The following is a 23,402-nucleotide window of genomic DNA, read 5'->3' on the forward strand; positions in this document are numbered from 1 at the left end:
TAAGTCATGGGGTGTTTGGAGGTGCTCAAGTTGGCGTCTTGGGAAAGGAAATGGAATGGAAATTCAAGAGCCCACAGCAATCCCAGATAACTCAGAAATCTCAAAGAGAGGCTTCTTTCAGGGGTTTCTAAAACCCTTTCTAAAACCAATGGAAATGTTTGCATTCTGGTTGAGGAATATCCACTTGACCAGTGCTTAGGTGAACATGCTGTAGGTACTGGTATTATCGTCTGGGGCAATGCATCAAAGTCCCAGATGTCATGGAATGTACATTCTGGTGGAATTGCCCTTCAGAGTACCTGGGGAACAAAAGATGATCCTTATTATTAAAGATGATCCTGTGGCTTCAGGCACCCTCAAGGCCTCTTGTATTTCTCCAAATATGTGTGCAGATTCTTTAATCCAGCATATATTCTAACAACATATTTGTGTATGTGTACATATATGTACCAGGATGTGTATTACTGCAGCTTTATGATAGTGAAACTTAAAACTAGTACATTTATACTTGAATATAATGCAGCTGTTACAATACAAGTGATTTAGGTTTATATGCAGTGCGTGGAAGGATCTCCAAGACATGCTGTTAAGTAAACAATATCCAACAACCAAGATTCCCAGCAAGCCAAGAAAAACCTTATGTTCTGTGTACAGTTACATATACAGATTGAGGAAAAGGACTGGAAGGATACACATTGAAATATAAACAGTGGTTAATTGGAGAAAAGTAGGAATTTGGGGAAGAAACATTAGCTGTTTACAGTGTACATAAAAAGAATAGATGTTCCTGTGGTATTAAAAATGGAAATAATTTTTAGGCCAGGCATGGAGGCTCACACGGGTAATCCTAGCACTTTGGGTGGCTGAGGTGGAAGGATCTCTTGAGGCCAGTTCCAGGTCAACCTTGGCCACATAGGAAGACTCCGTCTCCGACAACAACAACAAAAAAGGCTGGGCCCGATGGCTGAAGCCTGTAATCCCAGCCATTTGGAAGGCCAAGTCAAGTGGATCACTTGAGGTCAGGAGTTCGAGACCAGCCTGTCCAAAATGGTGAAACCTCGCCTCTATTAAAAAATACAGAAATTAGATGGGTGTGGTGGCGCGTGCCTGTAGTCTCAGCTACTTGGGAGGGAGAGGCATGAGAATCACTTCAACCCGGGAGGCGGAGGCTGCAGTGAGCTGAGGTGGTACCACTGCAGTCCAGCTTGGGCAACAGAGTGGAGACTCCATCTCAAAAAAATAAATAAATAAAATAAATAAATAAATGAAAAGAAAAGAAAAAACATTAGTTAGGCATGGTGGCCTATGCCTGTAGTCCTAGCCACTCGCGAGGCTAAGAGGGGCGTATGGGTTAAGCCTAGATGGGGCCATTGCACTCCAGACTGGGTGACAGAGGGAGAGTCTGTCTCTAACAAAAAAAATTTAAAAAGCATAACAGGAAGTTTCACCTGGGCCGGGGTTGGAAGGTTTATCTAGTTTAGCAGCGAAGTTCTAAGATAAGGTCTGAAATACAATTTACACCTTGTAAAGACGCCACTCCCCTGGCCCAAGCACTAGTTGTAAAAGTCGATTTGATCACAAAGTGACCCTGCGTGGTTGTTTTGGGAGCGCAGTGGCTGAAGGCGAAGGAGGTGGGGGTGTGTCGAGACTTGTGGACCAGGTGACTGCTGAGAAGGAGAAAATAAGCCAGGTACACAACTGCGGAAGAGCTCTCCAGGGTTAGGGGAAGGCTGTGTCCTTGTCACTGCTGTGTGTCCCTGGCTGTACACTCCAATTGTCTGGAGGCGGTGGCGTGTTGGACAGTCCTGGTTGCTGAGTCATGCTAAAACACTGTTGTTTTGACTCACTTTGTGACGTAGGTCTTTCTCACCAGTCAAGAAAATATAATCCGGAGATAGCCTCTGGGCTGGCTTTAGCTCAGCGGTTACTTCGAGTACATTGTAACCACCTCTCTGGGTGGTTCGAGACCCGCGGGTGCTTTCCAGCTCTTTTACTGCTGAAGTTCAGCTCCTTTTCCATGGGGAACCATGGAGAAATGGCTGATTTTAGCACTGGGCAGGAAATACAGAGATGGACAGGGTGCATCTCACAGTGCTAGAAAGTAAGGAAGTGCTTGAAAACCAAAAACAGGCCGGGCGCGGTGGCTCATGCCTGTAATCCCAGCACTTTGGGAGGCCGAGGCGGGCGGATCACGAGGTCAGGAAATCAAGACCATCCTCGCTAACCCGGTGAAACCCCGTCTCTACTAAAAATACAAAAAAATTAGCCGGGTGTGGTGGCGGGCGCCTGTAGCCCCAGCTACTCGGGAGGCTGAGGCAGGAGAATGGCGTGAGCCATTCGGGAGGTGGAGCTTGCTGTGAGCCGAGATCGCGCCACTGCACTCCAGCCTGGGCGACAGAGCAAGACTCCGTATCACAAAAAAAAAAAAAAAAAGAAAAAAAAGAAAAGAAAACCTAAAACAACCAAACTCTTAACTTTAAAAATATTTTTCAATGTTCAGTAATGTTCATGTGTTTGTTGTAACAGTTAATTGTATACTTGTATCTTCTCATCCTTTTTGCCTGAGGCCCAGAGGAGTTTTTCTTTCAAATCTAATGGATGTTCTAAGAGATATCTTTTTTTTTTTATTGGCTGTGTTAATACCTTTTCTCAATACCAGTTATTATATCTTAAGTAAAAGCTCTTCCCTTTGGACATCTTATAATTTAGTTTTTTTCTGATTTTTTTTCCTTCTATTTCTCCTGCTTTTTTACAAACTGTTTTCTTAGTTATTTTGTTCTTTGTCTATTTCTCTTCTGAGTTATTTTTCTGATTCATGGCATTTTTTTCATGTTACCAAATGATTGTTTAAGGTTATCTAATTTAGGTTGGAGTACTGTGTTTCAGTTTTCCGGTTCCATGGTGAGTTTAAAAAAAATACGGACTTTTGGCTGGGCTCGGTGGCTCACGCTTGTAATCCCAGCACTTTGGGAGGCCGAGGCGGGCGGATCACGAGGTCAGGAGATCGAGACCACGGTGCGACCCTGTCTCTACTAAAAATACAAAAAAATTAGCTGGGCGTGGTGGCGGGCGCCTGTAGTCCCAGTTACTCAGAGAGGCTGAAGCAGGAGAATGGCGTGAACCCGGGAGGCGGAGCTTGCAGTGAGCCGAGATTGCGCAACTGCACTCCAGCCTGGGCGACAGAGCGAGACTCCGTCTCAAAAAAAAAAAAAAAAGTATGGATTTTCACTTAAAATTTTTCTATATAATATGTCTGCAATTTTCTGTGCATTTTGTAATATTTTATTTTCCAGTTTCAGCAACTGCAAATGAGGCAGAAGTTTGGGTGCCTTACCAGCTTTCTTAGTTCAAGAGTGCCCTCTTTTGTTGGTAGAACAAAATGCATTTTTCCCCGAAATAGCCCTTTTTTAGAGTGGAGCACCGACTGATGCCTTGTGATTTTGTAATTCTCTTTCATTTCTGTGGGACTCTTAATTTTCTTTTCTTTTTCTTTTTCTTTTTGAGACAGGGTCTATCTCTCTCTCCGAGACTGGAGTGCAGTGGCGCCGTCTCAGCTCACTGGAACCTCTGCCTCAAGCAATCCTCCTGCCTCAGCTTCCTCCTGAGTAGCTGGGACCACAGGTGCGCGCTACCTCGCCTGGCTAAATTTTGTATTTATTTAATTTTATTATTTTATTTAATTTTAATATTTTTGTAGAGACAGGCATCTTGCCATGTTGCCCAGGCTGGTCTCGAGTTCCTGACCTTAAGATATCCGTCCTCCTCAGCATCCCATAATGTTGGTTTACAGCAGTGAGCCACCGCACCCAGCCTGGGACTCTTACTCATTGCTTGCTTCCTTTTTCTTCACCATCAAGCCCTGAAGGGGTACCTTCCCTTCAAGTCGCCTCTTTCCTCCTGCCTTTCCTCTTGCCTTTGCAACATTGCCATGGCCAGTCTCAAACAATTTCACCCCCTTTTAAAATCTGTCTCAGTTCTTTCATCTACCAGATCTCGGACGTATTGTCAGTATTTCTCCACTCAAGATGGGACTCTTTTTCTGGTGGTGGTTTAGCCTTTCTGTGCCATCTTGGCTTCTCTTCTAGAGCATGGCTCTGTAACTGGATCTGCTGGTTTTGGATGTATATACCTGCTTTTATATAAAATGGGGTTTATAATTTTCTCTGTCTGTAAATTATATTGTAGCCATGGATGGTTTTATTCGTTCTCCTTAGTTTTGTTTGTTTATAGGATGTGTGGAGAGATTCAAATTTAGGTAACTGGCGTTATTCTATAGGAATCTGGAAGCCAGAACGTTTGTTTTTGTTTTCCATAAAAAATTTTAATTGTGGTAAAATACACAGAAAACAAAATTTGGCATATGAACCATTTTAAAATGTTCAGCTCAGTGGTGGTAGGTACATTCACACTGTTATGCAACCATCACCACTATCTATCTCCAGGAACTCTTCATCTTTCAAAACTGAAACTCTATACCCATTAACTAATAACTCTCCACCTCCCTCTATCTCTAATCCCTGGCAACTGCCATTCTGCTTTCCGTCTCTATAAATTTGACTACTCTAGGTATCTCATAAAAGTGGAATCACACAGTAGCTGTCTTTTTGTGACTCCTTTATTTCCCTTAGCACAATTTTTTTTTTTTTTGAGACAGAGTCTGGCTTTTTCTCCCAGGCTGGAGTGCAATGGTGCGATCTCAGCTCACTGTAACCTCCGCCTCCCGGGTTCAAGCGATTCTCCTGCCTCAACCTCCCCAGTAGCTGGGATTACAGACGCCCACCACCACGCACGGCTAATATTTGTATTTTTAGTAGAGACGGGTTTGGCTATGTTGTCCAGGCTGGTTTCGAACTCCTGACCTCAGGTGATCCACTCACCTCGGCCTCCCAAAGTGCTGGGATTACAGGCGTGAGCCACTGCACCCGGCCAGCACAATGTTCTTAAGGTTCATCCATGTTGTATCATGTACCATAATTTCATTCCTTTTTAAAAAGGATAAATAATATGCTATTGTATGTGAATACTACAATGGAATATTATTAAAACGGAATATTTTGTTTAGCCATCATCCATCGATAGACATTTGGGTTGTTCTGACCTTTTAGCTATTATGAACGATGCTGCTATGAACATAAGTGTACGAATTTCTATTTGAGTTTCTGCTTTCAATTCCTTTGGGTATATACCAGAAGTGGAATTGCTGGATTATATGGTAATTCTATTTTTAGCTATTTAAGTGACTGCCATACTGTTTTCCATAGCAGCTGTATCATTTTACATTCCCACCAATAGTGCAGAAATGCTTCAATTTCTCCACATCTTCACTAACACTTATTCTCTCTCTCTCTCTGAGTGTGTGTGTGTGTGTGTGTGTGTATGTGTGTGTTATTGATAGTAGCTATCCTGAAGGGTGTGAGGTTGTGTCTCCTGTGGCAGCTCATTTGATTTTAATCTCTCTTAATTATTAGTGTATTTAAAACTGTAAGTTTGCCTTTAAATACTGCTTTATTTGTAGTACACAAATTCTGTCATGTAGTGTTTCATTCACTTCTAAGTGTTTTATAAGCTGAGTCTGATCTAGTAATATGTTATTTATTTTCCAAGTAAGTGGGATTTTATTTTAGCAATTGTTTTTACAAATGTTAATTTCAGAATGCATTGTAGTAGGAGAACATTGTCTGAATGGGATTGGATCTTTGGAATTTATTGATGCTTCCTTTATGGCCTAATACATGGTCTATTGTTGTAAGTGTTATATGTATATTCAAAAAGAGTGCCTGTTTATTTTGGTTCTACATATTTTTAAAAATGTTTTTCATTTCAGCTCATTCATATCCATACTATTTTCAGTTCTATGTGATCTACAGTTCTTAGAGATGCATGTTAAAACATTTCCAACTACAATTGGTGATTTATGTATTTTTTCCTGTTTGTTTGATATAGTTCAAGATTGTATATTGGATGCATGTATGCTTATGATGATTGTATCAATTTTCTACAGTTAATTAATTAAGCATTTTAACACTGTGAGATAAACATGCAGAAAGTTTATGAGGTATATACGTAAATTTAAATACTTATAAAATGAATCCATATAATCACTACTATATAATCCATATAATCACTACTAAGGATAAGAAAACGTTGCCAACATTCCAGAAACCCTGTATCTCTCTTTTGATTTTCACAACCCCTTCACTTTTGGAATTAACCATTCACCTGATTTTTTAATTTTATTTATTTTATTTTATTTAGAGAAGAGGGTCTTGCTATGTTGCCCAGGCTGCAGTACAGTAGCCATTCACAAGTATAATTATAGCAGGCAACAGCCTTGAACTCCTGGGCTCGAGTGATCCTTCTGCCTCAGCCTCCCGAGTTGCAGGGACTCTAGGCATGCACCATTCTGCCCAGCTCCATTTACCTGATTTTTATTGATTTATTATTATTACTGGTATTATTTTTGAGACAGAGTCTTGCTCTTTCACCCAGGCGGGAGTGCAGTGGGGGTATCTCAGCTCACTGCAACGTCCGCCTCCCGGGTTCAAGGGATTCTCCCGCCTTAGCCTCCTGAGTAGCTGGGATTACAGTCGCCCACCACTATGCCTGGTTAATTTTTTTGTATTTTTAGTACATATGGGGTTTCACCATGTTGGCCAGGCTGGTCTTGAACTCCTGACCTCAAATGATCTGCCTGCCTCGGCCTCCCAAAGTCCTGGGATTACATGCCTGAGCCACCGCACCCAGTCTCATTCTTCAGGAAACCATCTAGTTTAATTTAGCTTCAAAGGATGTCGTTCCTTTTTTGGTACAGTGGAGCTTACCTCTGGTCACTTCTTTTTTTTTTCTTTTTTCTTTTTTTTTTTTTGTTTGAGACGGAGTCTTGCTCTGTGCCCAGGCTGGAGTGCACAGGCGCGATCTCGGCTCACTGTAAGCTCCGCCTCCCGGGTTCATGCCATTCTCCTGCCTCAGTCTCCCGAGTAACTGGGGCTACAGGCGCCAGCCACCACATCCGGCTAATTTTTTTTTTTTTTTTTTTTTTTTTAGTAGAGATGGGGTTTCACCGTGTTAGCCAGGATATTCTCGATCTCCTGACCTCGTGATCCGCCCGCCTTGGCCTCTCAAAGTGCTGGGATTACAGGCATGAGCCACGGCGCCTGGCCATCTCTGGTCACTTCTAAAATGCAATTCTGAATTTCAGAATCTTTAAACTCTTTTGGGACTGGTAAGTGGTTTGAGTCTCAAAGGGACCTAAGTCATGGGGGTGTTTGGAGGTGCTCAAGTTGGTGTCTTAGGAAAGGAAATGGAATGGAAATTCAAGAGCCCACAGCAATCTCCCAGATAACTCAGAAATCTCAAAGAGAAGCTTGTTTCAGGGCTTTCTAAAACCAATGGAAATGTTTGCATTCTGGTTGAGGAATATCCACTTGACCAGTGCTTAGGTGAACATGCTGTAGGTACTGGTATTATCGTCTGGGGCAATGCATCAAAGTCCCAGATGTCATGGAATGTACATTCTGGTGGAATTGCCCTTCAGAGTACCTGGGGAACAAAAGATGATCCTTATTACTAAAGATGATCCTACGGCTTCAGGCACCCTCAAGGCCTCTTGCATTTCTCCCATAACTTTCTCCAAATATGTGTGCAGATTCTTTAATCCAGCATATATTCTAACAACATACTTGTGTATGTGTACATATATGTACCAAGATGTGTATCACTGCAGCTTTATGATAGTGAAACTTAAAACTAGTACATTTATACTTGAATATAATGCAGCTGTTACAATACAAGTGATTTAGGTTTATATGCAGTGACTGGAAGGATCTCCAAGACATGCTGTTAAGTAAACAATATCCAACAACCAAGATTCCCAGCAAGCCAAGAAAAACCTTATGTTTTGTATACAGTTAAATATACAGATTGAGGGAAAGGACTGGAAGGATACACATTGAAATATAAACAGTGGTTAATTGGAGAAAAGTAGGAATTTGGGGAAGAAAGATTAGCTGTTTACAGTGCACATAAAAATAATAGATGTTACTGTAGTATTAAAAATGGAAATAATTTTTAGGCCAGGCATGGAGGCTCACACGGGTAATCCTAGCGCTTTGGGTGGCCAAGGTGGAAGGATCTGTTGAGGCCAGTTCCAGGTCAACCTTGGCAACATAGCAAGAGCCTGTCTCTACAAAAAGACAAAACAAAACAAAACAAGAAAGGCTGGGCATGGTGGCTGAAGCCTGTAATCTCAGCCCTTTGGGAGGCCGAGGCAAGCGGATCACCTGAGGTCAGGAGTTCGAGACCAGCCTGGCCAACATGGTGAAACTTCCTCTCTACTAAAAAATATAAAAATTAGCTGGGTGTGGTGGCGCATGCCTGTAGTCCCAACTACTTGGGAGGATGAGGCATGAGAATCGCTTGAACCTGGGAGGCGGAGGCTGCAGTGAGCCGAGTTGTTGCCACTGCAATCCAGCTTGGGCAACGGCGTGGAGAATCCGTCTCAGGAAAAAAAAAATTAGTTGGGCATGGTGGACTGCCTGTAGTCCTAGCTACTGGGAAGGCTAAGAGGGGCGTATGGGTTGAGCCTAGATGGGGCCATTGCACTGCAGCCTGGGTGACAGGGTGACAGAGGGGTATTCTGTCAAAAAAAAAAAAAAAAAAAAGCGCCGCAGGAAGTTTCCCCTGGGGAGAGGATGTAAGGTTTATCTAGTTTAGCAGCGAAGTTCTAAGATAAGGTCTGAAATACAATTTACACCTTGTAAAGACTCCACTCTTATGACCCAAGCTCTACTTGTAAAAGTCGATTTGATCACAAAGTGACCCTGCGTGGTTGTTTTGGGAGCGCAAAAGCTGGAGGCAAAGGAGGTGGGGGCGTGTGGAGAGTTGTGGACCAGGTGACTGCTGAGGAGAGAATAAACCGGGGGCACAACCGCGGAAGAGCTCTCCAGGGGTTAGAGGAAGGCTGAGTACTTGTCACTGCTGTATGTCCCCAGATGGACACTCTGCAATTGCCTGGAGATAGCGGCGGATTGGACAGTCCAGGTCGCTGAGTCAAGCTAAAGCACCGTTGTTTTGACTCACTCTTTGTGACGTAGGTCTTTCTCACCAGTCAAGAAAATACAATCCGAAAGCAACCTCTGGGCTGGCTTTAGCTCAGCGGTTACTTCGCGTGTCATCAAACCACCTCTCTGGGTTGTTCGAGACCCGCGGGCGCTCTCCAGCCCTCTTACTGCTGAAGTTCAGCTCACTTTCCATAATAAAAGGATCCAGGGTTTCTTGGAGAAATGGCTGATTTTAGTAGTGGGCAGGAAATATAGAAATGGACACGGAGCACCTCGTAGTGCTAGAAAGCAAGGAAGTGCTTAAAATCCAAACACAACCAAACTCTTAACTTTTAAAGTTTTTTCAGTGTTCAGTAATGTTCACGTGTTTGTTCTAACAGTTACCTGTATATTTGTATCTTCTTGTCCTTTTTGCCTGAGGCCCACAGGAGTTTTTCTTTCAAATCTAATGGATGCTCTAAGATATACCTCAGACTTGATCATTCCATATAATTTTTCCTAGGTTTCCTTTCGATATGTAGACCCAAGTTTCTTTTATTATAGTTTTGAAGATTACATCGGTTCCATTGTTTTATTCTTCTTCAGGGACTGCAATGTATGTTGGATCTTTGCCTCTACACCAACGCCACTTTCTGTCTGATCCTTTGAATGGCTTTTTTTTTTTTCAGATGGAATCTCACTCTGTTGCCCAGGATGGAGTGCAATGGTGCGATCTCCGCTCACTGCAACTTCCATCTCCTTTTTTCAAGCGATTCTCCTGCCTCAGCCTCCTGAGTAGCTGGGACTACAGGCACATGCCACCATACCTGGCTAATTTTTGTATTTTTAGTAAAGACAGGGTTTCACCATAATGGCCAAGCTGGTCTCGAACTCCTGACCTTGTGATCCACCCGCCTCGGCCTCCCGAAGTGCTGGGATTACAGGCGTGAGCCACTGCACCCGGCTGAATTGCTTTCTTTTGATTTTATTTTTATTTTATTGGCTGTGTTAATACCTTTCCTCAATACCAGTTATTATATTTTAAGTAAAAGCTCTTCCTCTTCGAACATCTTATAATTTAGTTTTTTTTTCTGATTTTTTTATTCTTCTATTTCTCCTGCTTTTTTTTTTTTAACAAACTGTTTTCTTAGTTATTTCGTTCTTTGTCCATTTCTGTTCTGAGTTATTTTTCTGATTCATGGCATTTTTTTTCATGTTACCAAATTATTGTTTAAGGTTATTTAATTTTGGCTGGAATATTATGTTTCAGGTTTCTGGTATCATGTTGAGTTTTTTTTTTTTAGAAAATATAGATTTTCACTTAAATTTTTTCTATATAATATGTCTGCAATTTTCTGTGCATTTTGTAATATTTTATTTTCCAGTTTCAGCAACTGCAAATGAGGCAGGAGGTTGGGTGCCTTACCAGCTTTCTTAGTTCAAGAGTGCCCTCTTTTTTTAGAGTGGCGCACTGGCTGATGTCTTCTGATTTTGTGATTCTGTTTCATTTCTGTGGGACTCTTAACTTTCTTTTTCTTTTTCTTTTCGAGACACAGCCTGTCTCTGTCTCCCAGGCTGGAGTGCAGCGGCTCCATCTCTGCTCACAGCAACCTCTGCCTCCTGGGCTCAAGCGATCCTCCTGCCTCAGCCTCCTCCCGAGTAGCTGGGACCACAGGTGCGCACTACCTCGCCTGGCTAAATTTAGTATTTTATTTTATTTTATTTTTGTAGAGATGGGGGTCTCACCATGTTGCCCAGGCTGGTCTCGAGTTCCTGAGCTCAAGAGATCTGCCCACCTCGGCCTCCCATAGTGTTGGGTTTATAGGAGTCAGCGACTGCGCCCAGCCTGGGACTCTTACTCATTGCTTGCTTCGTTTTTCTTCACCATCAAGCCCTGAAGGGGTACCTCCCCTTCAAGTCGCCTCTTTCTTCCTGCCTTTCCTCTTGCCTTTGCAACATTGCCATTGCCAGTCTCAAACAATTTCACCCCCTTTTAAAATCTGTCTCAGTTCTTTCATCTACCAGATCTCGGACGTATTGTCAGTATTTCTCCACTCAAGATGGGACTCTCTTTTTCTGGTGGTGGTTTAGCCTTTCTGTGCCATCTTGGCTTCTCTTCTAGAGCATGGCTCTGTAACTGGATCTGCTGGTTTTGGATGTATATACCTGCTTTTATATAAAATGGGGTTTATAATTTTCTCTGTCTGTAAATTATATTGTAGCCATGGATGGTTTTATTCGTTCTCCTTAGTTTTGTTTGTTTATAGGATGTGTGGAGAGATTCAAATTTAGGTAACTGGTGTTGTTCTATAGGAATCTGGAAGCCAGAACATTTGTTTTTGTTTTCCATAAAAAATTTTAATTGTGGTAAACTACACAGAATATAAAATTTGGCATATGAACCATTTTAAAATGTTCAGCTCAGTGGTGGTAGGTACATTCACACCGTTTTGCAACCATCACCACTATCCATCTCCAGAACTCTTCATCTTTCAAAACTGAAACTCTATACCCATTAACTAATAACTCTCCACCTCCCTCTATCCCTAATCCCTGGCAACTGCCATTCTGCTTTCCGTCTCTATAAATTTGACTACTCTAGGTATCTCATAGAAGTGGAATCATACAGTAGTTGTCTTTTTGTGACTCGTTTATTTCACTTAGCACTATGTTTTATTTTGTTTTGTTTTGTTTTGTTTTGAGATGGAGTCTGGCTCAGTCACCCAGGCTGGAGTGCAGTGGCACAATCTCGGCTTACTGCAACCTCCACCTCCTGGGTTCAAGCGATTCTCCTGCCTGAGCCTCCCAAGTAGCTGGGACTTCAGCCTCCTGCCACCATGTCCTGCTAATTTTTTGTAACTTTACTAGAGACTGGGTTTCACTCTGTTAGCCAGGATGGTGTCGATCTCCTGACCCCATGATTCTCCTGGGATTACAGGCATGAGCCACCGCACCCAGCCAGCACAATGTTCTTAAGGTTCATCCACGTTGTATCATGTACTACAATTTCATTCCTTTTGAAAAAGGATAAATAATATTTTATTGTATGTGAATACTACAATGGAATACTATTAAAATGGAATGTTTTGTTTAGTCATTGTCCATCAATGGACATTTGGGTTGTTTTGACCTCTTGCCTATTATGAACAATGCTGCTATGAACATGAGTGTACAAATATCTGTTTGTGTTTCTGCTTTCAATTCCTTTGGGTATATACCCAGAAGTGGAATTGCTGGGTTATATGGTAATTGTACTTTTAATTATTTAAGTGACTGCTGTACTGTTTTCCATAGCAGCTGTATCACTTTACATTCCCACCAATAGTGCAGAAATGCTTCAATTTCTCCATGTCTTCACTAACACTTATTCTCTCTCTCTCTGTGTGTGTGTGTGTGTGTGTGTGTGTGATTGATAGCAGCTATCCTGAAGGGTGTGAGGTTGTATCTCCTGTGGCAGCTCATTTGATTTTAATCTTTCTTAATCATTAGTGTATTTAAAACTGCAAGTTTACCTTTAAGTACTGCTTTAGTTGTAGTACACAAATTCTTCATGTAGTGTTTCATTCACTTCTAAGTATTTTTTAAGCAGAATCTTATTTAGTAATATGTTATTTAGTTTCCAAACACATGGGATTTTATTTTAGCTATTGTTTTTACAAATGTTAATTCCAGGATGCATTGTAATAGGAGAACATTGTCTGAATGGGATCAGATCTGTGGAATTTATAGCCTAACACATGGTCTATTGTTGTAAGTGTTATATATATATTCAAAAATAATGCCTGTTTATTTTGGGTCTACATATTTTTAAAATTGTTTTTCTTTTCAGCTCATTCATATCCATACTATTTTCAGGTCTATGTGATCTACAGTCCTTAGAGATGCATATTAAAACATTTCCAACTACAATTGGTGATTTATGTATTTTTTCCTATTTGATGTAGTTCAAGACTGTATTGTAGATGCATGTATGCTTATGATGACTGTATCAATTTTCTACTGTTCACTAATTAAACATTTTTAAACTGTGAGATATAACATACATGCAGAAAATTCATGAGGTAAATACATAGATTTAAATAAATGCTTATAAAATGAATCCATATAATCACTACTAAGGTAAGAAAACATTGCCAACATCCCAGAAACCCTCTCTCTCTTTTGATTTTTACAATCCCTTCACTTTCTTTTGGAATTAACCATTCACCTGATTGTTTATCTTATTTATTTTTATTGTATTTAGAGAAGATGGTCTTGCTATGTTGCCCAGGCTGCAGTATAGTAGCCATTCACAGGTATAATCATAGTGGCAACAGCCTTGAATTCCTGGGCTCAAGTGATCCTTTTGCTTCAACCTCTCCAGTGCTGAGACTGTAGGCATGCACCATTGTGCCCAGCCCTGTTTACCTGATTTTTATTTATTTATTAATATTTCTATTACTATTATTATTATTTTTGAGACAGAGTCTTGCTCTTTCACCCAGGCAAGAGTGCAGTGGGGGTATCTCAGCTCACTGCAAGCTCTGCCTCCTGGGCTCAAGTGATTCTCCTCTCTCAGCCTCCTGAGTAGCTAGGATTACAGGCATGTGCCACCATGCCCAGCTAATTTTTGTGTTTTTAGTAGAGACAGCGTTTCAATATTTTGGCCAGGCTTGTCTCGAACTCCTGACCTCAAGTGATCCGCCCACCTCGGCTTCCCAAAGTGCTGGAATTACAGGCGTGAGCCACTGTGCCCGCCCCCTCCATTTACCTGATTTTTATAATAATAATTTTCTCACTCTTCTTTATATCTTTACCACTTATGTATGAATGCCTGGGTGCTATAATTTAGTTTTCCTATTTTGATTACTTTCATAAATATAGTTATATTGAAGTGTTTGTTTTGTTTTGCTTCTTTTGTTCAATAATACATTTGTAAGATTTATCCATTTTGTTTATGTTGTGGGTTACTATTCCATTTAATGAATATAAGATGATTTACTTATTCATTTTAATATTGATGGATATTTGTAGCATTTCTAGTTTTGGTTCATTGTTCATAATAACTGAAACCCAGAAAAAACAGATATTCCCATCTTATACATATGTCCTGCGGCACTTCAGCATATATTTCTCCAGGGTACATACCTAGGAGTCAAACTGCTAAGTATTTAGTGGATTCATGTCTTCAGTTCTATAGTTTTGCCCAGTGGTTTTCCAAAGTATTTCTACCAGCTTACACATCTACCAGCAGTGTATCATGTCCCCAATATTTGGCATTGTACAACTTTAAAAATTTTTGTCAATTTTATGGCTGTAATTTGGTACCTCATTGTATTTTCATGAAAAAAGACAAAATCTTCATTTTAAGTATATAGAATAAATTCACATAATGTATTTTCTTTTTCTTTTTCTTTTTTTTTTTTTTTGGGACGGAGTCTTGCTCTGTCGCCCAGGCTGGAGTGCAGTGGCGCGATCTCGGCTCACTTCAAGCTCTGCCTCCCGGGTTCAAGCCATTCTCCTGCCTCAGCCTCCCCAGCAGCTGGGACTACAGGTGCACACCGCCACGCCCGGCTAATTTTTGTATTTTTAGTAGAGACGGGGTTTCACCGTGTTAGCCAGGATGGTCTTGATCTCCTGACCTCGTGATCTGCCCACCTCGGCCTCCCAAAGTGCTGGGATTAAAGGCGTGAGCCACTGTACCCGGCCCACGTAATGTATTTTCTTATTTAACCTTGAATGCTGAATAGTGTGCGTCTTTTTTTAAAAATACATCTTTAGATAAAATAGTATATTTTCAAAAAAGTACCCAAATCATAAATTTACAGCTCTATGAATTAATACAAAGTAAAGAAAACCATGAAATCACCACATGTCTATAAATAGGACTGTTCCATAAAGCCCTTCTAGAGCCTCCTGTAGTCACTTCTCTCACACTTGTCCTCAGAAGAAAGCCTTGAGGTGATTTCTAATATTACGATTGTTTTGTTTTTTCAACTTTGTATTAATGGAATAATACGTGACTGATTTTCTCATTCCTCCTTATGTTCCCATCCAGGTACTAACCAGGCCTGACCCTACTTAGCTTCCAAGATCAGAGGAGACCGGGCACGTTCAAGATGGTATGGCCAAAGACCCTCATTATGTTTCTAGATTCATCTATTTTGTTGTGCGTAGCAGTTGCTTATTTGCATTGCTGTATGGAAAGTAAGTCAAAAGACTTAATACTTTTGAAAGTAGAAATACTTTCGAAAGCAATTTGGGCTCCTCAATATAGTATAGGTTATGAGAGCTACAACAGTGCTTAGCAAGAGGTTTGGAACATAGAAAGTGTTTATTATACTTCTTTTTTTTTTTTTTTTTTTTTGAGACGGAGTTTTGCTGTTGTTGCCCAGGCTGGAGTGCAGTGGCAGGATCTCGGCTCACTGCAACCTCTGCCTCCTGGGTTCAAGTGATTCTCCTGCCTCAGCCTCCTGAGTGAGTAGCTGGGATTACAGGTGCGTGCCACCACGCTCAGCTAATTTTTTGTATTTTTAGTAGAGACGGGATTTCATCATGTTAGCCAGGCTGGTCTCGAACTCTGACCTCAGGTGATCCATCCACCTTGGCCTCCCAAAATGCAGGGATTACAGGCGTGAGCCACTGCGCTTGGTCTATACTTCTTATATTTGCAGGCAAATACCTTTTTACATTTGACAAATTGCCTTTTTATTTTTGCTTGAGTTTCCCTAAATAAAACTTCCTTGTTGTACTTATGCATGGTTCTATAATGGTGAATCAAGCCATTTACATTGGTGAATGAGAAATTGCATATTTCATGAATGCATGGAATAGTTTATGGTATTTATTCAAAATATTACACATACTTCTGCTTCCAGGAAGGTGGAGTAAATGTAATATTCCCCATTCATCCTGCTAAAACCCCAAAGCATTGTACATAAAACAAATGTAATACAATGAAAGGCAGACAAAAGGCAGACCAGCTAGGGATCTCAAGACTCAAGGTACAACACAGTCGTAAGTTTTTTTTTCCTTTTGTATTCCAGACTTGGAACTGAAGAAGCTGGCAATCTGGAAATGCCAATGGACGCAGATTTTAAAAGCCCCAGCAAAAGTCTGCTTTCTCTATTCATAGGACCAGGATCAGGAAGAGGACAGCTTAGAAAGACATAAAATTCTTAGACAATAACTGTTCTACCCCAGCCAAACACCAAACACACACACACACACACACACACACACACTCCAACAACTATGGCCCCACCCACTTCAGCAAAGGCTGAGTAGGAGCCTAAACTTCCACCACTGAGCGGCTATAAGAAGTTACCCCAAGACCCCACCAACGTGGTGTTAAAGAAGGCCAAATAGGGGACAAAATTTTTATCCATGCTGACCAGTTATGAGGTTCCCTTTTTCCCTCTGTGAAATAAAAATAAAGCCCGTAGGTCCCCAGGCAAGATGAAATGGACTCCTTGTTGCAAAAGAGACCCCAGAAAACTTTAAAAGCTGGATTCTATGGCTTTGGCAAGGTAAGAGTTCGGTCACACCTCAAAACTCCCCTACCTCATTAACTGCTTCAAGACTTTCTTTCCTACAGTTAAACGCCTGGGACTACAGTCATGTGCCACCATCCTAGGCTAATTTTTTTTTAAAGGTTTTTGTAGAGATGAGGTCTCAGTATATTGCCCAGGCTGGTCTCAAACTCTTGGGCTTAAGCAATTCTCCATCTCGGCCTCCCAGAGTGCTGGAATTACAGGCGTGAGCCACTGCACCAAGTCAGAAAACTGAGTTTTAAGAAGATTAATATTTTTATGTTTATGTAGCTTTCTGTATTACTTTTAAAGTCTTTTGATTGTCACTTCGGTTAAATGAATATTATTTTACAATGACCCGTGATCCTGTTTTGATCAAATATTTTGGGCCTTTTAACATCTTTGACAAACATCCTCAAAATCAATCCTAAATTAAGTCTTTTTACTTAGAATTAACTTTAAGATTTTCTAATTGGGCCCCTAAAAAGCTTCAACAGATATATCTCTCATTTTATAGAGATATTTTAAATGATTAGGCTTATTTGGTAAATTATATAAAAACATTGTCAAATAATAAGCAATACTAGATCTTCTTTTAATTACACTATGATATGTTGTTGATATAAATGGTTCAAAATTTATATAAATTCAGAAAGATCTAATGTGTTATCAGTCATAATTTTGGTTGTTATCTTAAAATACTACATATAATGTAAATAACTAAATGTTCTTGTCAATTGAGAACTTTCATTAGATTTTAACCATAGCCATTCTAAGTTTTTGTCATCTACAGTTACTGTTTTTAATTCTTCTCTAAAAACATTTGCAATAAGCTATAATCCAAATTGCTTTCTATCGAAAAGACTTTAACATATTTGAATACCAATTTCTCACTTGGAATAACGAAGTTCTTCCCTCCGCGGAAGACTGGACCTCAACACCAGTATCTGACACCAGACTTAGACTAGGGTTCCACCTCATGGCTGAGAAGAAGATGACAGCTGAGGTGGACTGCCTGTCCAAGATGCTGGACCAGGGCTGTATTTTAACTCGCCCACTTTTGACTTAAGACAAATTACCATTGCCATTGCCTCAAGTACCTGCGTTATTGACTGATTACCCTGACGTTGGGAATATTATGTATTCTGGAGATCCTATGTTGTGCTACAATGCTTACCCTTGTATTCCATTTTTAGATACTTCTAAAATTTCTCATCCACCTCCAAGTCCAAAATCCCTTTCCCAGAGCCTATAATCCTCACTTTAGAAAACATAGTTACCATGCTCCTTGTTAATCAAATACTCCATTACCTTAAAGAATACCCCCAGACTCTAGATAGTGACCCTCAGCAATTTGTATGGAATTTATGATTTCTCTCTTGGTTTAATTTTTTTATAACTAAAATGGACTCCTCTGTTTCACTCCTCACAATTTTAGTTTTATTGACCACTTCTGTTACCAAACCCACACCTTAACCCTTACCCTTTTGAGTAAAAGGTAATTTTACTATTCTTTTGAAAAGGTTTTTGTAGAGATTAGGTCTCAGTATATTGCCCAGGCTGGTCTCAAACTCTTGGGCTCAAGCAATTCTCCCACCTCAGCCTCCCAAAGTGCTGGAATTACAGGTATGAGCCACTGCACCAAACCAGAAAACTGAGTTTTAAAAAGATTAAGATTTTTATGTCTATGTAGCTTTCTCCTTAGATTCTGGGACTCCCACCCTTGCTACTGTACATAACCACTGAATGCCCAAAGAAAAAATATCAAACACTGACAACAGCTCCTCTTTGTTAGATATCATGCCTCTGCAGGCTTCTAGAAGGCTTGCAACAAAACCAGTTCGTGGTTCACTCACATAATAGATATCTTGTTCATAAATGAACGTATAAATTGGCATACCCTTGGAGGTATAACTTGTGCCCCTTGAGGACACACTTTCCTATATAGAATTGAGTCAGATCCCCCAGTTCAAGAAGAGGCACACAGATGCATAAACAGCTGGCAAGTTGAAGGACTTTGCCTTCTAGGTCATTACGTTGCCCTCTTTTCCATCCATCTCAATCATAAAGAAAATCTTGCTTTCCGGTAAGCTAAAAGAGAGCTACCAAGTGGATATCAGGATATGTGGTAGCATAGTTTTTGGGGTGTAATTTTTCTCAGCTACGGAGTATACACTAACAGAGATACGATAAAAAAAAATGCCGGCCACCATAGGACAAATTGCTGAAAATGCTGCAATAAGTATTATGACACAGTAGAAGTCCTTAAATTCTCTCGCTCAAGTGGTTTTAGACAATCAAATTGCACCAGGTTTTCTCATTGCTAAACAAGGGGGAATTTGCATGATAGCCCACACCACTTGTTGCACTTATATCAACATTATAGGAGATTTAACAACCCATGTAGGTAAGATCACCCAACAGGCTGCCTGGTTACAGGAGGTACAAACCACAGATCCCCTTAATAACGTTTTTAGCTGACTCATTGCAGTATTAGAAATTACTTCCAATCCATCTTACAAACCCTTGTCATTATCATATCACTATCTTGTTCCTATTTTTGATAGTCAAAGTACTTATAAGATCTATAACCAACTACTTCAAGTCTGTCACTAAAACCAAAGTTATGGTAGCACAATGCATAGAAATGACAGACAACATAAACATAAACTTACCTTCTCAACTTTTCTGTTGTTACTGTTTTTCTAGTCTCAAAGGTTCAAAGGGTCTTAATAGCTGTCTGCCTCCTTCTTGCCTGGCCTAAAATATTCAACTGGTTGTAAGTCTCCTAGCCACATGAGTCCCACTGACAGACTAGATAGACCTGGGGCAGGTATCCACACCATCCTGGGAACGACATGGGACATGTTAGAAAATTTAGCCATCAATGCTGCCTATGGCAGATTTCAGCCTAAAGCTGGAAAGTGTGAAATAAAACTAAAGTCCCTAAGCCCCTAGGTGAAACAGAATGGACTTCTTGTTGCAAAAGAGACCCCAGAAACTTTGAAAACTGCATTCTATGGCTTTGGCAAGGCAAGAGGTCAGTCACACCTCAACACTCCCCTACCTTGTTAACTGCCTCAAAACTTTCCTTCCTACAATTAAACAGAAACGAGTTCCTAAAAAACTGTCTGGAAGATTTCTCCCTCAACCTCAAGAGACCTCTTGATGTCATGGCTGACCTCCCCTCTTTTATCGTGGTTTCACCATGACTACTGACCAGCCTTATTAAACATTCCATTGTTATACTGACCACCGACCACAGACTGATTGCACCTAGTCCACAGAGGCTGTGCACAAGATGCCTTTGTGTTCTGTTTCACCTTGTTATATATAAACAGCCACGTGCCACTTCACTTTACTATTAAATCCCCACCCCAAAATGAACATGGAACATATGTAACATATATGTTTATTCTCTTTGCATGCATTAGGGTTTTCTCAAATATTCATAGATTCTCCTATAAGCTACTGAATATGTACATATAGCTCATCTTGTTGGGCATAAGTCCCAGCTTCTCCCTTTTGTCTCTGAAGCAGATGCTTTTCATTTTGGCTGGATGTTTCATTTCCCAACCTGCAGATTGTAACCATTTATAGGAAATAAAACTCTCTTTTTTCTTCTTCCTCAAATCTCATGATCTTTTGTTAATACTTCCCTTCCCAGCAGGGGGGATTATATGAGAAGACTGGACTTAGACCTCTACCCAGTGGTAATGTGGCCATCCTCACTGTGGTGTCAGGGGAGCCAGAACTTCCATGCTTACCCAGCAGTAACAATGAGCTCCCTTCTTCAGGTGGCAATGGAGGCTCTGTGGGGAACCTGGACTTCTGCCTGCACCTGGCAGTAATTAGGTGACATCTCCTTCTTTCTCTGTTCCCCCTTCTGCCTAAATGGTATCAGAGAAATCCCACTAAAACAGAAGGTTTAAATAGGATCCAGAGTAGCGGAATATAATATGAACATATCCAGGTTTTAATGAAAAGTTACTTATCATACCAGAAGATCTCAAACAGAATGAAAAAATGACAATCAACAGATGCCAACATTGTGATGACAGAGATATTAGAATTATCTGACAGAAATTTTAAATTAGCCATTGTAAAAATGCTTCAATAAGCAATTATAAACATTCTTGGAATAAATGAAAAATAGAATGCATAAGCAAAGAAATAGATGATAAAAGAAGAACTAAATGGAAATTTTAGAACTGAAAAATATAATAACTGAAATAAAAACCTCAGTGGATGGGGTGGGTGGGTTCAGCAGCATAATGGAGGAGGCAGAAAAAATAACAAGTGAACTAGAAGATAGAATAATAAAAATTATCCAACCTAAACAACAGAGAGAAATTAGACGGAAAAAAATGAATAGACTTTGATAAGTTGTGGACAGAGCAACCGCTAACATGTTATACAAAGAGATGCACTAAAAAACATAGTATTAACTCAAAATAGAATTTTAGAAAATATTAAAGTAAGATGAAGGCACGAAGAATAAAACAGAGAAGTGAAAATCCAAATGAACAGGAGGCCAGGTGCAGTGGCTCACACCTATAATCCCAGCATTTTGGGAGGCCGAGGTAGGAGGATCACTTGAGGCCAGAAGTTTGAGACCATCTTGGGTGACATAGTGAGACCTCGTCTCTACAAAAAAATAAAAATAAAAAAGCCCCAAAATGAACAATTAGTAAAATACAACATAGATTTCCTTTAGTAACAATTCTCCTCATATCCTTCCTTATTCTTCTTTTTATTCTTCTCTATGATTACCTATTAATGATGAAATACTAGATGTTTTACTTTCTATTTCTTCATAGGATTCCTCTGAATATATTTCTTTCTTTCTCTCTCTCTCTCTTTTTTTTTTTTTTTGAGACAGAGTCTCACTCTGCTGCCCAGGCTGGAGTACAGTGGTGCGATCTCAGCTCACTGCAACCTCTGTCTCCCAGGTTCAAGTGATTCTCATGCCTCAGTTTCGTGGGATTACAGGTGCACACCACCACTCCCGGCTAATTTTTGTATCAGTAGAGACAAAGTTTCACCATGTTGCCCAGGCTGGTGAACATGTTTCTTAATCGTATTCATCCTTTTTAGAATGACAGGGTGGCTTCTCAGAGGTACCATTGGGATCACCTCCAAGTTCTGCAGAATAATTAACTTTTTTTTTTCTTTTTTGAGACAAAGTCTTACTCTGTTGCCCAGGCTGGAGTGCAGTGGTGTGATCTTGGTTCACTGAAACCTCCGCCTGGAGGGTTCAAGCAATTCTCCTGCCTCAGCCTCCCTGGTAGCTGGGCTTACAGGTGTGGGCCACCACACCTGGCTAATTTTTATATTTTTAGTAGAAATGGGTTTCACCATGTTGGCCAGGCTGGTCTGGAACGCCTGACCTCAAGTGATCCACCCACCTAGGCCTCCAAAAGTGCTGGGATTACAGGCGTGAGCCACCACCCCTGGCCCAGAACAAGCAACTTTCAGCCTGATTCTTAAGCATGGGCCTTTATGATAACATTTGTCGTTATAAAATAATTTGTGAGTTGCTCCCTCACTGCCAATTTAATATTTTTAAATTTTAAAACCTATTTTATTTTTAAAAATTTTACTTCTGACCCATGAGATGTAATTAATATTTGTTTTTATAATGAAGCGTCAGGTTTGTTTTTCTTATAAATGACCTTTCATGAATATTTACTTCCATGTTCAGAAAATTTGCTATTCTTATTACCTACTAGTTTTTCTGTAAATTTGCTGGATATTATAATGTTTATAATCATATTAACTCTAAATAAGGAGAGTTTTATACTCGTATTAACTCTAAACATACAGAGTTTTAACTCTAAATAAAAAAGTTTCATATAAGAAGGTGTATCTTCTCACTCATAAGTGGGAGCTAAGCTATGAGGCTGCAAAGGCATAAGAATGATACAGTGCACTTTGGGGACTCAGGGGTGTAGGGTGGGAAGTGGGTGAGGGATAAAAGACTACAAATTGAGTTCAATGTATACTGCTCTGGTGACGGGTACACCAATATCTCACAAATCACCACTAAAGAACTTACTCACGTAACCAAATACCACCTGTTCCCCAAAATCCTACGGAATAACCTCCTTATACTTTTCCCCTTCTTTTTCTAACCATGGAGAATGCCATATGAACACCTCAGACCTTTATATTTTTCTCTTGTTGTATACACTGGTTAGGCCCTTTGGAACAATGACGACAGGATGATTAAAGTGATGATAGCAGACATCCCTGTCTTGTTCTGGATTTCAAAGGGAAAGCTTTAATCATTTCACCATTAAGTATGATGTTTGCTTTAGCTTTTTTTTTTTCCCCTGGACACCCTTACCAAGTTACAAATATTCTCTTATATGCCTAAGGATACAACTAATATCTGCTAAAAATCTTAAGATTAATTAAGATTATTTTAAAATCATGAAAGGTTGTTGAATTTTATTAAGTAATTTTTCTGCATGTACATAGATAATCATGATTTTCCCTTTAGTTCATTAACTTTGCATATATACTAATTACTTTTATAATGTTAAGTCAACCTCATATCTTGGAGAAATTCTACTTATGCTGTATTATTCTTTTTTATGTACTACTGGATTTAATTTTCTAATAATTAGTATGGGTTTTTTTTCATTTATTTACATTAATGACATTAGACTGGGCTTTTCCTTTTTTGTGTGTATTTTTTACAATAGGATTCACTATCAGGTTATTTTAGCATTAGAAAATCATTTAGGAAGTGTTCCTTCTTATTAATTAGGATAGTTTGTATATGATTGAAATGACTTAATTTTTCTTTTCTTTCTTTTTCTTTTATTGAGACAGGCTCTTGCTCTCT

General features: G+C 40.0%; 1 long non-coding RNA gene and 2 other non-coding genes across 4 annotated transcripts in view, besides 2 other annotated features; all 3 read left to right on the plus strand.

Annotated features, from left to right (window-relative positions):
• LOC105378198 (uncharacterized) overlaps positions 1-23,402 on the plus strand; it is a 46,805-nt gene that overhangs the window by 5,746 nt on the left and 17,657 nt on the right. The window contains exons 1-3 of one of the 2 annotated variants that reach the window (XR_001742905.2): positions 10,674-10,713; positions 15,076-15,139; positions 16,064-16,474. This is a non-coding gene — a long non-coding RNA (uncharacterized LOC105378198). Of the gene's footprint in view, positions 1-10,673; positions 10,714-15,075; positions 15,140-16,063; positions 16,547-23,402 lie in introns of those variants that run through there. The other variant, XR_001742904.2, reaches the window with a different exon arrangement.
• Positions 1,675-1,784: an enhancer, noted in NCBI's record as "active region_23290". NCBI's record gives its function as "activates an Ori minimal core promoter by ATAC-STARR-seq in GM12878 lymphoblastoid cells {active_cell/tissue: GM12878}" and the evidence as "EXISTENCE:reporter gene assay evidence [ECO:0000049][PMID:35858748]".
• Positions 1,905-1,992, plus strand: VTRNA1-2 (vault RNA 1-2). The gene has a single exon (NR_026704.1).
• Positions 8,923-9,217: an enhancer, noted in NCBI's record as "tiled region #6103; HepG2 Activating DNase unmatched - State 1:Tss, and K562 Activating DNase unmatched - State 1:Tss". NCBI's record gives its function as "activates a minimal TATA promoter and a strong SV40 promoter by Sharpr-MPRA in HepG2 and K562 cells {active_cell/tissue: HepG2 | K562}" and the evidence as "EXISTENCE:reporter gene assay evidence [ECO:0000049][PMID:27701403]".
• Positions 9,138-9,225, plus strand: VTRNA1-3 (vault RNA 1-3). Its single transcript, NR_026705.1, has one exon.

The sequence above is a fragment of the Homo sapiens genome, chromosome 5 (genome assembly GCF_000001405.40).
Source record: "Homo sapiens chromosome 5, GRCh38.p14 Primary Assembly".
Taxonomy (NCBI): Eukaryota; Metazoa; Chordata; class Mammalia; order Primates; family Hominidae; genus Homo; species Homo sapiens.